At 52.2% G+C, this 15,554-nt stretch overlaps 1 protein-coding gene across 12 annotated transcripts in view, besides 1 other annotated feature; it reads right to left on the bottom strand.

Moving 5' to 3' along the window:
• Positions 589 to 918: an enhancer, noted in NCBI's record as "active region_13910". NCBI's record gives its function as "activates an Ori minimal core promoter by ATAC-STARR-seq in GM12878 lymphoblastoid cells {active_cell/tissue: GM12878}" and the evidence as "EXISTENCE:reporter gene assay evidence [ECO:0000049][PMID:35858748]".
• Positions 7,473 to 15,554, bottom strand: part of CERS4 (ceramide synthase 4) — a 53,052-nt gene continuing 44,970 nt past the window's right edge. For 10 of the 12 annotated variants that reach the window (XM_017027304.2, XM_047439435.1, XM_047439433.1 and 7 more), the window contains 9 exons: positions 15,278 to 15,395; positions 14,169 to 14,287; positions 14,015 to 14,072; positions 13,608 to 13,658; positions 13,184 to 13,276; positions 12,817 to 12,945; positions 11,909 to 12,015; positions 8,050 to 8,206; positions 7,473 to 7,964 (listed from right to left, as the gene is read on the bottom strand). In XM_017027304.2, the coding sequence (XP_016882793.1) occupies positions 7,785 to 7,964; positions 8,050 to 8,206; positions 11,909 to 12,015; positions 12,817 to 12,945; positions 13,184 to 13,276; positions 13,608 to 13,658; positions 14,015 to 14,072; positions 14,169 to 14,287; positions 15,278 to 15,395 (1,012 nt within the window). In that variant the 3' untranslated portion in view covers positions 7,473 to 7,784. Of the gene's footprint in view, positions 7,965 to 8,049; positions 8,207 to 11,908; positions 12,016 to 12,816; positions 13,004 to 13,183; positions 13,277 to 13,607; positions 13,659 to 14,014; positions 14,073 to 14,168; positions 14,288 to 15,277; positions 15,396 to 15,554 lie in introns of those variants that run through there. The other 2 variants (XM_047439438.1, XM_047439439.1) reach the window with 2 other exon arrangements.

Here is a 15,554-nt window from a genome sequence, read left to right as displayed (position 1 = left end):
TAGGACTTGCCTAGGAGTTGCACTGATAGCCTAGACTGACTTTCAAATTTACTTAGAGACCCAGAGCACTTTAGCCCATGGTGGGTCGCAAAGTTTGCAGGAACTCAAATTCCACTGGGATCCATAATTTCCCTCTTGTTAGGGCTGGTTTAAATGCCCCCTCTATAGGGACCAGCCCTACAGGGCCTGTGGGTTTTTCTCCTCGTGTGTGGAGATGAGAGATCGTAGAAATAAAGACACAAGGCAAAGAGAAGGAAAGACAGCTGGGGCCTGGAGGACCACTACCACCAAGACGCAGAGACCGGTAGTGGCCCTGAATGCCTGGCTGCACTGTTATTTTTTGGATATAAGGCAAGGGGGCAGGGTAAGGAGTGTTGAGCCATCTCCAGTGATAGGTAAGGTCACGTGAGTCATGTGTCTACTGGACAGGGGGCCCTTCCCTGTTTGGTAGCCGAGGCAGAGAGAGGGGACAGCTTATGTCATTATTTCTTGGAGAGGTCAACGGCTTAATACTTTCACTTAATTCTGCTACTGTTTTCTAGAAGGCAGAGCCAGGTGTACAGGGTGGAACATGAAAGTGAAACAGGAGCGTGACCGCTGAAGCACAGCATGACAGAGGCTAGACTGTTAGGCCTCTGGATGGCTGTTGGCAGGTGGGGATGGTGGGGGCTTGACTGATGTCAGGCCTTCCACAAGAGGTGGTGGAGCAGAGTCTTCTCTAACTCCCCCAAGGAAAGGGAGACTCCCTTTCCCGGTCTGCTAAGTAACGGGTGCCTTCCCAGGCGCCGGCATTACCGCTAGACCATGGAGCCCTCTAGTGGCCCTGTCCGGGCATAACAGAGGGCTCGCACTCTTGTCTTCTGGTGTAACTATTTTTATTTTATATATATTTTTTATTTTACTGGAACAACTTGTGCCCTCAGTCTCTTGCCTCGGCACCTGGGTGGCTTGCCGCCCACACCCTCTATGGGTGGGCATCAGCTGAGTGTGGTCGGGTTTTTCTTTCTGCTCTAAAAGGACAGCGCTGGGTTCCATGCCTCACAATTGCTGCCCCCTCCCTCTCCCCAACACACAAAGGCACTCTCCACACCATGCTGCCAGGGGTGGCGGAGAGGTGGTGTCAGAGATTCAGGACTTTCAGTGTGTTTCTTCAGTGTGTCTTTCAGTGATATAAAGTTAAAACCGGGTACTGTGAGTGCTCACCTGATTTTTGGTTCTTCTTTTTTTTTTTTTTTTTTTTTTTTTTTTTTTTTTTTTTTTTTTTTTTTTTTTTCGGAGACAGAGTCTTGCTCTGTCGCCCAGGCTGGAGTGCAGTGGCGCGATCTCGGCTCACTGCAACCTCTGCCTCCCGGGTTCAAGTGATTCTCCTGCCTCAGCCTCCTGAGTAGCTGGAACTACAGGCATGAGCCACTGCTCCCGGCTGGGATTTTTGGTTCTTGGGAAAGTGCTTTTTTGTGTGTAGCTGTTAAATTGGTGTCCTTGTTGGAGGGATGGTTGGTGGAGCCTTCTATTCTGTTATCTTGTGCTGCCTTCTACATCCTGGGTTTTTGATATAGATATGTCATAGACTAATAATGGGCAGTTTTATTCTCTTTATTTCTCCTACTGATATCTTTTTTTGTTTTACGGTTTTTTTTTTTTTAATTGGCGGAATTTCACTCTTGTTGCCTGGGCTGGAATGCAATGGCGTGACCTCGCCTCACTGCAACCTCCGCCACCCAGGTTCAAGTGATTCTCCTGCCTCAGCCTCCCAAGTAGCTGGGATTACAGGCATGCGCCACCACACCCGGCTAATTTTTTTGTATTTTTAGTAGAGATGGGGTGTCTCCATGTTGGTCAGGCTGGTCTCGAACTCCCGACCTCAGGTGATCTGCCTGCCTCGGCCTCCCAAAGTGCTGGGATTAACAGGCGTGAGCCACCGCGCCCGGCCTTTTTTGATTTATTGTTAACTAGAACTCCCAGAATAATTTTGAATAAGGGTGGCGATAGCAGCTATTGTCTTATTTCTTACCTTAAGGGTTATGTACCCAACAATTAAATATGACATTAAATATAACATTTGACATGTATGATGCTTTATTTTTGTTTTTTAGTGTTGGGGCCTTCCACTATTCCTCAGGTTGGAGTGCAGTGGCAAGATCACGGCTCACTGCAGCCTTGAACTCCTGGTTCAAGTGGTCCTCCTGCCTTGAGCTCCTGAGTAGCTGGGACTACAGGCACATACCACCATGCCTGATTTTTAAATTTTGTGCAGAGATGGGGGTCTTGCCATGTTGCCAGGCTGATCTTGAACTCCTGGGCTCAAGTGATCCTCTCCCTTGGTCTCCAGAAGTGCTGGGATTACAGGTATGAGCCACCGCACCTGGCCTGTCTCTATATTTTTTTCTGTGACTTCTTTTATTTTTCTTTATTAATCTTGCCAGATGTTCGTCTGTTAGTCATTCAAATAACTAACTTTTAGGTTTGATGATCCTAATTTTAACACTTATCCTGTTTTTTCTTTTATTGAGCTTATTTTACTGTTCTTTAAAATCTTCTTAAATGCTTAGCTAATTATTTTTGAGCTTTTTCTTTTTTTTTTTTTTTTTTTTTTTTTTTTGAGTCTCACCCTGTTGCCCAGGCTGGAGTACAATGGCACAATCTTGGCTCATTGAAACTTCTGCCTCCTGGGTTCAAGCGATTCTCCTGCCTCAGCCTCCTGAGTAGCTGGGATTACAGGCACGTGCCACCACTGCTGGCTAATTTTTTTTTTTTTTTTTGTATCTTTAGTAGAGACGGGGTTTCACCATGTTGGTCAGACTGATCTCAAACTCCTGACCTCATGATCCACCCCCCTTGGCCTCCCAGAGTGCTGGGATTACAGGTGTGAGCCACCACGCCAGGCTGCTTTTTTTTTTTTTTCGTTTCTAATATAAGCCTGTTAGGCTGCAAACTTCCTCCAAAGGATTGCTTAAGCTACACTCCACAAACATTGACATGTAATATTTTTATATTTTTGCTATTCATCTTTTTTTTTTTTTTTTTTTTTTTGGAGACAAAATCTCACTCTGTTGCCAGGCTGGAGTGCTGGCATGTCTCAGCCTCCCGAGTAGCTGGGATTACAGGCATGTGCCACCACACCCAGCTAATTTTTGTATTTTTAGTAGAGACGGGGTTTCACCATGTTGGCCAGGATGGTCTCGATCTCCTGACCTCGTGATCCGCCCACCTTGACTTCCCAAAGTGCTGGGATTACAGGCGTGAGCCACTGTGCCCGGCCTTTGCTATTCATCTATAGGAGTGTATTTTCTAATCTTCATTATGGGCTCTCTTTCAACCCATGAGGTTCCTATTATTTGTTTTTTTGGAGGAAATGGGAATTATTGGATAGGGAAACACCAGGTAAATGGAATAATTATAATCTTTGCTTCATGAGACACTGTAGTTGATACATACAAATCCCTTTCTTCATGCATTTATTAAGATGAAATTTACATAACGAACCATCTTAAAGTGAACAGTTCAGTGGCATCGAGTGCATTTGCAATGTTGTAGAACCACGACTTTAGTTCCAAAACATTTCCACCGCTGCAAGATAAAACTCCGTACCCATTAAACAGTTTCTTCCTATGCCTTCACCCTGAAGCCCCCGGCAGCTATAAATATACATTTTATTTTTATAGGTTTACCTCTTCTGGATATTTCATATAGGTGGAATCATAAAATGTGTGACCTTTTATGTCTGGGTTCTTACACTGAGCATAATGCTTCCAGGGTTCATTCACATGCAGCATATGTGAGTGCTGTATTCCTTTTCATGGCTGAGTAGTAGTCCATTGTATGGATGGACTACAATTTGTTATTGGACATTTGGGTTGTTTCTATGGTGTTTTTTTCTCCCCCCACCCCTCCAGACAGGGTCTCTCTGTTGCGCAGGCTGGAGTATAGTGGCATGATCATAGCTCACAGCAGTCTTGTACTCCTGGGCTCAGGCAATCCTCTCACTCAACTTCCTGAGTAGCTGGGAGTATACGTGCATGCCACCACACCCTGCTGATTTTTCTATTTTTTTGCAGAGACCATGTCTCACTATGTTGTCCAGGCTGGTCTTGAACTCCTGTGCTCAAGCAATCCTCCCACTTCGACCTCCCAAAGTGTTGGGATTACAGGAGTGAACCATTGTGATCAGCTGTTTCTACCTTTATTGTGACTAGTGCTGCTATGAACATTCATGTGTAAATATTTGAGTACCTGCTTCCAATTCTTTTGGGTCTATTCCTAGGAGTGGAATTGCTGGATCATATAGTAATTCTATTTAATTTCTTGAGGAACCACCAAACGATTTTCCACAGTGATCATTTTACATTTCCACCAGCAGTGAATACAGTTGTTTCATTTTTTCCACATCCTTGCCAACACTTTTTTTTTTTAAGACAGAGTTTCGCTCTTGTTACCCAGGCTGGAGTGTAGTGGCATGATCTTGGCTCCCTGCAACCTCTGCCTCCCAGGTTCAAGTGATTCTCCTGCCTCAGTCTCCCAAGTACCTGGGATTACAGACATGTACCACCATGCCCGGCTAATTTTGTATTTTTAGGAGAGAGGGGTTTCTCCATGTTGGTCAGGCTGGTCTCGAAGTCTCGACCTCAGGTGATCCACCTGCCTCAGCCTCCCAAAGTTTGGGGATTACAGGCATGAGGGGATTACACTGCACCTGGCCAACACTTCTTTTATTATACCCACTCTTGTGGATGTAAAGTGGTTTCTCATTGTGTTTTTGATTTGCATTTTCCTAATGACTAACAATGTTGAATATCTTTTCATGTGCTTATTGGCCATTTCTTTTTGGGAATTTTTTTTTTCTTTTTCTTTTTCCTTTAGATGGAGTCTTGCTCTTGTTGCCCAGGCTGAAGTGCAGTGGCGCGCTCTCAGCTCACTGCAACCTCTGCCTCCCGGGTTCAAGCGATTCTCCTGCCTCAGCCTCCCGAGTAGCTGGGATTACATGCACGTGTCACCATGCCCGGCTAATTTTTGTATTTTTAGTAGAGATGGGTTTCACCATGTTGGCCAGGCTGGTTTCGAACTCCTGACCGCAGGTGATCCACCTGCCTTAGCCTCCCAAAGTGCTGGGATTACAGGTGTGAGCCACCACACTCAGTCGAGAAATTTCTATTCAAGTCCTTTGCCTATTTTTTTCTTTTTTTGTGGAGAAGGGAGTCTTGCTATATTTCCCAGGCTGGTCTTGAATTCCTGGACTCAACTGATCCTCTTGCCTAAGCCCCCAAAGTGCTGGGATTATAGGGGTGAGCCACCACACCTGGTCTCTTTGCCCCCCCCCCCTTTTTTTTTTTTTTTTTTGAGATGGAGTCTGGCTCTGTTGCCCTGGCTGGAGTGCAGTGGCATGATCTCGGCTTACTGCAACCTGCACCTCCCAGGTTCAAGTGATTCTCCTGCCTCAGCCTCCCGAGTAGCTGGAATTACAGGCACCCCCTACCACGCCTGGCTAATGTTTGCATTTTTAGTAGAGATGGGGTTTCACTATGTTGGCCAGTCTGGTCTCTAACTCTTGACCTCAGGTGACCTGCCTGCCTTGGCCTCCCAAAGTGCTAGGATTACAGGCATGAGCTACCGTGCCCAGTCACCCATTTTTTAAATTAGGGTTTTTGTTGTTATTGAGTTGTAAGAGTTATATATCTTGGATGCTAGAACCTCTTCAGATATATCATATGCAAATATTTTCTTCCATTTTGTAGCTTGTCATATCCCTTTAAAAATTGTATTTAATGAGTGTGTCACTTCACTTCAAAAACTTCACCTCTCTCACGCCTGTAATTCCAGCACTTTGGGAGGCTGAGGCGGGTGGATCATTTGAGGTCAGGCGTTCGAGACCAGCTTGACCAACGTGACAAAACCACCTCTCTACTAAAAATACAAAAATTACCCGGGTGTGGTGGCACGTGCCTATAGTCCCAGCTACTCGGGAGGCTGAGGCAGGAGAATCACTTGAACCTGGGAGGCAGAGGTTGCAGTGAGCCAAGATGGCACCAGTGCATTCTAGCCTGGGTGACAGAAAGAGACTCCATCTCAAAAAACAAAAAAAACTTCACCTCACTTCAAAAACTAGAACAGTGATAGTAATTGATATCTATCTGAATCCCATTCCCTTACCTTCCCAGATCAAAGGTAATTTACTAATTTGAATTTTGTGTTTATATTTTATTACAGTTCTACTAGCTAGGTATTCATGCCTATATATTATCTCATTTGGGTTGCTTTTGAGCTTTATAAAAGGTCAACTATTATACACAATGCTGAATGGTTTTTCCAGTGTTGGTAACAATTTATATTCCCCCGATAATGTGAGATTATTGACCCCCCACATTCTCTCCAATACTTTGTTGTCCAATTTCTTGTTTATCTGAGACAGTCTTGCTCTGTCAACCAGGCTGGAGTGCAGTGGCGCGAGATCTTGGCTCACTGCAAGCTCCGCCTTCTGAGTTCACGCCATTCTCCTGCCTCAGCCTCCCGAGTAGATGGGACTACAGGCGCCCACCACCACGCCTGGGTAATTTTTTGTATTTTTAGTAGAGGTGAGGTTTCACCATGTTAGCCAGGATGGTCTAGATCTCCTGACCTCACGATCCGCCCGCTTCGGCCTCCCAAAGTGCTGGGATTACAGGCGCGAGCCACCACGCCTGGCTTTTGTTTTGTTTTGAGATGGAGTCTTGCTCTGTTGACCAGGCTGGAGTGCAGTGGCGTGATCTTGGCTCACTGCAGCCTCCACCTCCCGGGTTCAAGCGATTCTCCTGCCTCAGCCTCCCAGGTGACTGCGATTACAGGTGTGGGTCACCCTGCCCTGCTAGTTTTTGTATTTTTAGTAGAGATGGGGTTTTACCATGTTGCCAAGTCTGGTCTTGACCTCCTGACCTCAAGTGATCCCCCTGCCTCAGCCTCCAAAAGTGCTGGGATTCCAGGTGTGAGCCACCAGGCCTGGCCTCTGTTTATTTTTGGAGCTCTTGAAGAGACAGTGACCTCCCCAGGCTAACCCTTGGGAAGTCTGTGGGATTTCAGCCCACTCCCTCCACTGTCCCAAGGAAGGATCCAGGGACCACAAAGGTGGGCAATCTACCGGACTTAAGAAAGGACTGCAGAGACAGGCCTGGTCTGTGACCTACCTGTGAGCTTGGGCAAAGGACTTGACCTTTCAGAGCTAGTCTGCAAGGGGGTCTTTGAGAGGCTGACCCAAGGGTACCCTAAGGGTGGAGGGAGGGGCTTGTTTGAGTCACTGGCTGGCGAGTCAGGGGCTCATCTGGGAACAGCGTGGGGAGCGGGTGGTCTCTGAGCTCTGTTGCTGTCTGGGGCCCCTGGGGCCCTGCATCCTTGGGTGGCAGTGAGTATCCCGTAGGTGGGGTATGTAAGCAGAGGCCTGGCTCCCTCGGGGGTCTCTGGGGATGAAGAAGGAACTTTGATAGGGACCCAAGTTCTCAGGCAGAAAATTTGGCTCCATTTGTTTTAATTGGACCCTTTTCAGCCTGGGGCTCCCCCCAGCCCCCAGGCCACAGCCTGGAGGTGTCTCTGGCCAGCCACAGCATCCAGCTGCTGGCTCCCAGATCTGTCCAGTTGCCCAGAGGGAAGAAGGGTGGGTGGGCAGAAGGAAGGGGCTGGAGACAGATCATCAGCCTTCCCACCCACCCCGGGTGGGGCCCTCCCTGTCTCCAGAAAGGTGGCCCAGGGGCGCCAGTCCAGTCACCCCAGAAATATCCAAGGCACTGGCGGGGGGGCAACCCCTTACAGCCAGCCCCGCCCGGCTATGTGGCTGTTGTGTGCCTGTTGGTCAGACGCCCGGCCACCCGGCTCCGAGGGCCATCAGTGGGGGCTGGCCTGGGCCCTCCAGCTGCCCCGTTCTTTAGCTGCAGAGGTTCCTGGGCCGCCGCCGCCTCCTCACTGGAGTCTGATTCTTCTACATCACTACGAATGTCCTTCTCCATCTGGGGAACAGAGAGAGGGATGGAGCTCAGAGCAGGGAGGAAGGAGGAGCTTAGGGCTGGGGCCCCCGGGGAGGTCCAGCCATACCTGGCCCTTCTTCATGAAGCTATAGAGCATGCGCAGAATGAGGCAAGACCAGAACACGTGCAGCAGCTGCAGCAACATCAGAAGCCCGTTGAAGAAGTAGTAGCCGAAGAAGGGGCCCCTGTTGCTGATGGACTCGTAGTATGTGGTGTAGAGGATCCTACAGCCAGGGGGAGAGGAGGAGGCTGGGGTTTGACCAGCCGCTGTAGCCCCCAGTCCTAAGAATTTCTAACTGGCATGGCCTTCCCTGCTCCATAACCACCTATGGCTCCCTAGTGCCCCCCACCCCATGATACCTAACACTCTTGAGCTGGGCACGCGAGGCCCCCTCTCGCTTGTACTAAATGAGCAGAACACACACACGAGCTCCCTGACTGGCCATTCATGACTATGAACCCCACCCAAGCGGGTACTTATGAACTCAGCTGCTTTCCTGGGTGGCACTCTGGCAGCTTCTCTCTACTCCTCAGACCCCCATCACCTCCCCTTCATCAGCAGGCGACTGCCTACTCACCTCATAGGGGAGGGGCTTCATGTCAGGAAGGCAGGCGGTGGGGCCTCATCTCCCAGGAAGACACAGGGAGCAGGGCTCCATCTCCCAGAGTTTAAGAGGGGCGGGGCCTCATCTCCCAAGGAGTAAAAAAGGGGTGGGGCCTCATCTCCCGGGTAGCCGGACAGAGGTGGGGCTTTGTCTCCCACGGAGGCTGGGAGGGGCGGGGCTTCATTTTCACTGTGCAACCCAAGCCAGTTGGAAAGAATGTTCCCCAGCACTGCTCCTTCCCTCGAACTCCTCCTTGCTTGTTGCCTGGGACACTGTCCTGGAGCCCAGCTCCCACCACATCCTCTTCTCAAACTCAGCTGTGGTTCTTGTTTTTTTTTTTTTTTTTTTTTTTTTTTGAGATGGAGTCTTGCTCTGTCACCCAGGCTGGAGTGCAATGGCGTGATCTCGGCTCACTGCAACCTCTGCTTCCCAGGTTCCAGCGATTCTCCTGCCTCAGCCTCCCAAGTAGCTGGGATTATAGGCCCCTGCCACCACGCCCAGCTAATTTTTGTATTTTTAGTAGAGAGGTGGTTTTTGCCATGTTGGCCAGGCTGGTCTGGAACTCCTGACCTCAAGTGATCTGTTCACCTCAGCCTCCCAAAGTGCTGGGATTACAGGCGTGAGCCGCCGCACCCAGCCTTCCTGCTGGTTCTTTATCATCAACTCCAATCCCACTGTTATTTCACACAAGAAAGAAAAAAACAAAAAGCTCACTCTTTACTCTGCCCCTCTGGGCACCAACTTATTTCTTTTCCCTGTAGGCTTTTTTTTTTCCTTGGAACTCCTTGAAAGTACTGGCTGGGCTGGGCACAGTGGCTCACGCCTGTAATCCCAGCACTTTGGGAGGTGGAGGCGGGTGGATCACGAGGTCAGAAGTTCGAGTCCAGCCTGGCCAACATGGTGAAACCCCCATCTCTACTAAAAAAAAAAAAAAAAATACAAAAATTAGCCAGGTGTGGTGGTGTGTGCCTATAATTCCAGCTACTCAGGAGGCTGAGGCAGGAGAATTGCTTGAACCCGGGAGGCGGAGGTTGTGGTGGGCTGAGATCACGCCATTGCACTCCAGTCTAGGTGACAGAGCAAGACTCCATCTCAAAAAGTACTGGCTGTAGCTGCTGTGTTTCTCCTACCCCCCAATCAGCTGTAGGGTGACCAGCGACCTCGCCTTCCTCACTCCACAGTGCTCAGCCCTGCAGCCCCACCAGCTGGCACAACAGGTTGCCAGCAGCCCTCCCTCCTCCCTGGGCCCCTTCCCTCTCTGGCTCCCCGCACCCCACCATCTCCCCATCTCACAGCCACTTCTGCCTAATCTCCTCAGGCCTTGAAACCAAGACAGGTGGGAGCCATGGAGGATGGCAGCCAGAGGAGGGATGTAATCTGACTCTCATGCTCCATGGGCCCTGTTCTTCCTCTCTCGACCTGCAAACATCAGGAAGCCCGAGGACTGAGACTCTCTGTCCATACCTGGTCCCTAGGTGATGCCATCCAGGCTGCTGGCTGCAAATACCAGCCATGGACTGACAACTCCTACATTACCTCTTTCCCCAGAAGCCCAGACTGGCATGCCCACTGCCTTCTCCATGTCTCCTCTGAGGCCACAGACCCCTCAAACCCAGCAGGGCTGAGCTCCTGCTGCCTCGAGCAGTTCCTTCTGTGCTTGTTCCCACCTCCTGATCCCAGAGGCATCCCCTTAAGTCTGCCCACTTCTCTCGCCTACCCTGGGTCCCCTCACTCCTGCCCACACTTCCCATGATGTTTCCCCTGCAGCTGCCAAAGGGCACCCAGAACACCTAGGTCAGATTGAATCCCTCTGCTTATAACCTCCATGGCTCCCATCTCCCCCGGGGTCAAAGCCAAAGTCCTGCCCACAGCCCTCAAGGACCTGCACGGCCTACTCCATCTCCTGCCTACCCTCCCCCTCACCCACTCTGCTCCAGCCACACAGGCCTCCTTGCTCTTCCTCTAACATGCCGGGCATGGTCTTGCCTCAGGCCCTTTGCACATGCTATTCTCTGCCTGGAACACACTTCCCCTCTGATCAACGTGGTTCTGTCCCTCACCTCCCTCCCATCTCTCGGTACAAACGCTGCCAGCGAGGCATTACCTGCCATTCTAATTCCAACTACCCACCTCTCCCATACTTCCTGCTCCCTTCCTGACTTTTTTTTATTTAGAGACAGAGTCTTGCTCTGTCGCCCAGGCTGGAGTGCAGTGGTGTGATCTCAGCTCACTGCAACCTCTGCCTCCTGGGTTCAAGTGATTCTCCTGCCTTAGCCTCCCGAGTAGCTGGGATTACGGGCGTGTGCCACCATGCCCAGCTAATTATTGTGTTTTCAGTAGAGACAGGGTTTCTCTGTGTTGGCCAAAGTGGTCTCGATCTCCTGACCTCAGGTGATCCAGCCACCTTGGCCTCCCAAAGTGCTGGGATGACAGGCGTGAGCCATCACACCTGGCCAATTTGATTTAAGACAAAGTCTCCCTCTGTCACCCAGGCTGGAGTGCAGTGGTACAATCTTGATTCGCTGTAGCCTCTGCCTTCTGGGTTTAAGTGATCCTCCTGCCTCAGCCTCCCGAGTAGCTGGGATTACAGGTATGCACCATCACGTCCGGCTAATTTTTAATTTTTAATAGAGACAAGGTTTCACCATGTTGGCCAGGCTGGTGTCAAACTCCTGACCTCGTGATCTTCCTGCCTCAGCCTCACAAAGTGTTGGGATTACAGGGGTGAGCCACTGTGGCCAGCCTAACTTTTGTATTTTTAGTAGAGATGGGGTTTCACTATGTTGGCCAGGCTGGTCTGGAACTCCTGACCTCAAGTGACCCGCCCGCCTCAGCCTCCCAAAGTGCTGGGATTACAGGCATGAGCTACCACGCCCGGCCCGTCAAATTTATTTTCTTGTTAGTAAATCTCTCCTTCGCATGCTGTGCAGTTCACGTGGCTGCCTCACTTACCATCTGCTCCCACCCATGCAATGTCTGCTCACAAGGGCCGGGATCTTTGAACTGTGGCCTCTGCTGTGTTACCAGCACACTCAAGAGGCCCCCACAAATATTTACTGGGCAGACTTTGGTGCGCTGGCAGCCCTGACCCTTCCTCCCACTGCATGGTCCAGGCACGCTGAGTAATAATAATTCTCTGTCTCACCTCTGCGCCTTTGCATATGCCGTGCCCTGTGCCTGGCACACCCTTCCCTGCCTCCTCCTGGAACTCTCCCAGCCAAGATCCCCAGCTCCTTGGGGCAGGGTACCAATGGTGAGGCAGTCCTGGAATCTCAGACACGCCCTCCCACCTCCCTGACCCCCATGGGAGGGCTGACTCACTGGGTGGGAAAGAGGACCAGTCGGGTGTAGAAGAAGACAAAGGAGAAGATGAGGAAGAGAGCGTCGCACACTTGCTGATACTGCATGTAGTTGACCATCTTACAGGCCTGGAAAGGGCAGCAGGGAGAAATGGGCTCAGGACCAGGGCCCTGGTCTCAAAGAGAAGGTGCTATAGGATGGGACCAGGTGAGTTGGGGTGGGGCCTTGTTTCCAGGAACTACCTACCTTTTCAGGAAAGGTAAAGAGTGTGAATATAGGCTGGGCATGGTGGCTCACGCCTGTAATCCCAGCACTTTGGGAGGCTGAGGCAGGCAGATCACCTGAGGTCAGGAGTTCGAGACCAGCCTGGCCAACATGGTGAAACTCCATCTCTACTACAAATACAAAAGTTAGCTGGCATGGTGGCAAGTGCCTGTAATCCCAGCTTCTTGGGAAGCTGAGGCAGGAGATTACTTGAACCTGGGAGGCAGAGGTTGCAGTGAGCAGTGTGTGCCATTGCACTCTAGCCTGGGCAAGAGAGTGAGACTCCGTCTCAAAAAAAAAAATGTGAATACATGCGTGTGTGCACATGTGTGTAGCTTTATCCTCCAAGGAGGGAGCTGAGAGGGGCAGGGCTTTATCTCCCAGGAAGATGGGGGGCAGGGCCTCATCTCCCAAGGAAGCTGAGAAGGCGGGGGCCTCTGCCCAAGGAAGCCAAGAAGGGTGGGGCTTCATCACCCAGGAAGACAGAGGGGGTGGGGCCTTATCAGCCTGGAAGACAGAGGGGGCAGGGCCTCATCACCCGAGAAAGACAGGAGGGGTGGGGCTCCATCTCCCAGGAAGGTTGGGAGGAATGGGACCTCATCTCTGGGGCACCTGGGAGGGCTGGGTACAGCAGCTGGGAAGGGTCAGGCAGGGGTCGGGCCCACCTCCAGCAGGTAGTCAGAGGAATCGTGTAACAGCAGCACCAGAGAGCCAATGCGCAGCAGGTTGGCACTGTAGGAGAAGGTCATCAGGATGACCGCCACGAAGTGGTGTATCACCTGCTCCTTGAAATCCTGCAGTAGACGGTGGGTCATAGTGGGGACGAGGCTTGATGCTGGAAGGTCCCCCACCCTATGGGCCAAGAAGTGGGTCCTTTCAGGGGGTTGGTGTGGCCTCTGGGCCCATGGCCTCTATATCTCCTGCAGGAGGCACCAGGGAGCTCTCAAGGTGCGGTTGTAAGGCTGCCCTACCCCCCAGCACCCCAGCATCCCGGCCAGAGACTGGGTCTTCCAGACTCTTATTTGGCCTCACCTTGCGCTTGACATCAAAGGGCAGCCTGATTAGCAGTGAGAGGTAGAAACCCAGCTCCAAGAGGTACCACCAGTACAGGGATGGCTTCAGAGTCTGCAGCAGGACAGGACAAGGTTAGCTGTGGGGAGCGAAGGCTCCAATCGGGCAGGGGTATGGCTCCGGGCCCACTCCGTTTGCTCAAAACCAGGATACTTGAATCCCAATGAGTGAGCTCCCCATCCCTGGAGGTAATCAAGGGCAGTGGTTTGGTGGAAGCTCCTGCTTGGTTTTCTGGCCCCTCTCTATTCCCCAGAGGAATCAAAGAGCGTGGGACTCAGTGGGGAATGACAGTGTAGTGTCAGGGTTCGGGTCCCATGCCCATGGCTGCAGCAACTGTGATCATCGCCCTCACCCTCCAAGCATTCACACACACTCTGCCACTCACCTGGTTTGGGTACCTGTCCCAGCACATTACTGGTGCCCACAGCCATGACTCCTGCAGGGAAATGGGTGTCAGGCTGTGCAGAGGTGAGAATCCAACCTCCCACCCTGGGTCTGCGGTCTCTTTGGTTCTCCTTCCACAGTCACATAGATGCTACCTTCACCCAGCCCTGCTTTTTCCTGCTTCTCACTCTCGACTGGGGGGCTCATTCACTGCAGAACCCCAACTTTTGGTGCATAGTAAATCCAAATACCTGTTGAGTGAACATTCACCACCATCTTGCAAAGCTCGCTCTCTCCTCAGCTGCATGTTTTCCTCTCTGGCTGCACCACTCCACACCCCCACTCCTGCCAGATCTAGGCCAGGTGGATGGGGCAGGTGAGCAGTCAGCTATACTCTGGTATACTCACGTGGTACAGGACCGAGAGGCCGCCCACGAAGGAGGACAGGTAGAAGAGAAACCTCCAGCTGTGGATGGGGAGGGAGCTGTGAAAATAGCAGACACCCGCCCCGCCCCACCCCGGCCCGCTTCCCTGCACCCCAGAAGCCCCATCCTGGGCTTACCTGGCCTCACAGAACTTCTTGGTCAGCTGGGGTCGATCCTGGTTCCGGCGTCTCCGGAACCATCGCTGGGTCTGCTGCAGCGTGAGGCCACACTGGGCGGCCAGGAGAGACAGCTGGGGCTGGGGAGGGGGTGATGAGGACAAGGGTCACAGAGGCCCTGTGGTGGCTTCCCCCATGTCCCCAGACAGGACTTGGCTCTGCCCTCTCCACTGCAGGCCCACATCTTGCCTACAGGGTGACCATGTCTATATGGAGGGGCAGTGTTGGGGGTCCCAGCGTGGGGCCCTGCAGAACACTTGGGCCCTAAGAGAAGCAAATCCTGTTCATAGGGCAGGCAGGTCGCTGACGGGGATGGGATTAAGAGAGATGCTGGCGTGCAGCATCCCCTACCCCCGGATAGGCTTCCCTGCGTCCCTCCAGAACGGTCAGTTCTCACCTCCAACCTAGACAGGCAGTTGAGACCTTGCCCCAGCCCCAAGCCCTACCTGAAGAGGGAAATTGACAAGTAAAGGGGGAGTCACGTCTAGCTCTGCGGAAGCTGCCCTGTCGCCTCTAGGGTATGTGGTCTTCACCATTCCCCACCCCACTCAGGACGCAGCCACGCCTCCACAGCACAGACCCTGTCCAGCGGGCAGCCACACCAGAGACGGGAATGGAGGGAGGGTCACAGGGCTGCTTCTGTTACTCCATTCCCTATCAGCTCAGACCTTCCATTCCTCCCCAGGATAGGAGAGCAAGCAACTACTCTCACTCTCCTAGAATCTGTCCATTGTGCAACTGTGCCCACTAAGGCTCAGGGAGGCTGGGAGGGGAGGGGCCCCATCTCCCAAGGAGGCTGGGAAGGGGGGGGTCCTCATCTCCCAGGGAGGCTGGAAGGGTGGGGCTCCATGTCCCAGGGATGCTGGGAGGGGTGGGGCGTCGTTTCCCAGGGAGGCTGGGGGGTAGAGCCCTTTCCCAGGGAATTGAGGATGAAGAGTGGAAAGTAGGGGCATTGCAGGGGTGCCTGCAGCCACCTTGGCTTCTCCTGCCCCAACAAATGGGCCACACACCATCCCCACGCCCCACCCCCAGGGCAGTAGTGCGGGTCGGAGGGCATGGGGGGCTCTCACCTCCTTGGGCCTGTGCCCTTCCGTGAGGAAGTGTTTCTCCAGCGTGGCGTTGGGCTTCACTTGCCTCCTGGTCTGATCCCTCACACCCAGCCACCGGCTCAGGGGCAGGCCAATGAATCTGGGTGCAAAGGAGACAGAGCCTATCAGCCCAGGTGAAGAGATGGGACTGCCTGTGTGTGGGGGCAGACATGCTGCCGGTGGGATAACCAAGTCTCGGAGGGGCAAAGTTACAGGCTCAGAGAGCACAGCTGGCACATGGCAGGGTGTGTAAGACTTT

The sequence above is a fragment of the Homo sapiens genome, chromosome 19 (genome assembly GCF_000001405.40).
Source record: "Homo sapiens chromosome 19, GRCh38.p14 Primary Assembly".
Taxonomy (NCBI): Eukaryota; Metazoa; Chordata; class Mammalia; order Primates; family Hominidae; genus Homo; species Homo sapiens.
Note: the sequence above shows the minus strand (reverse complement) of the source record. Positions and strands in the feature narration are given on the sequence as shown.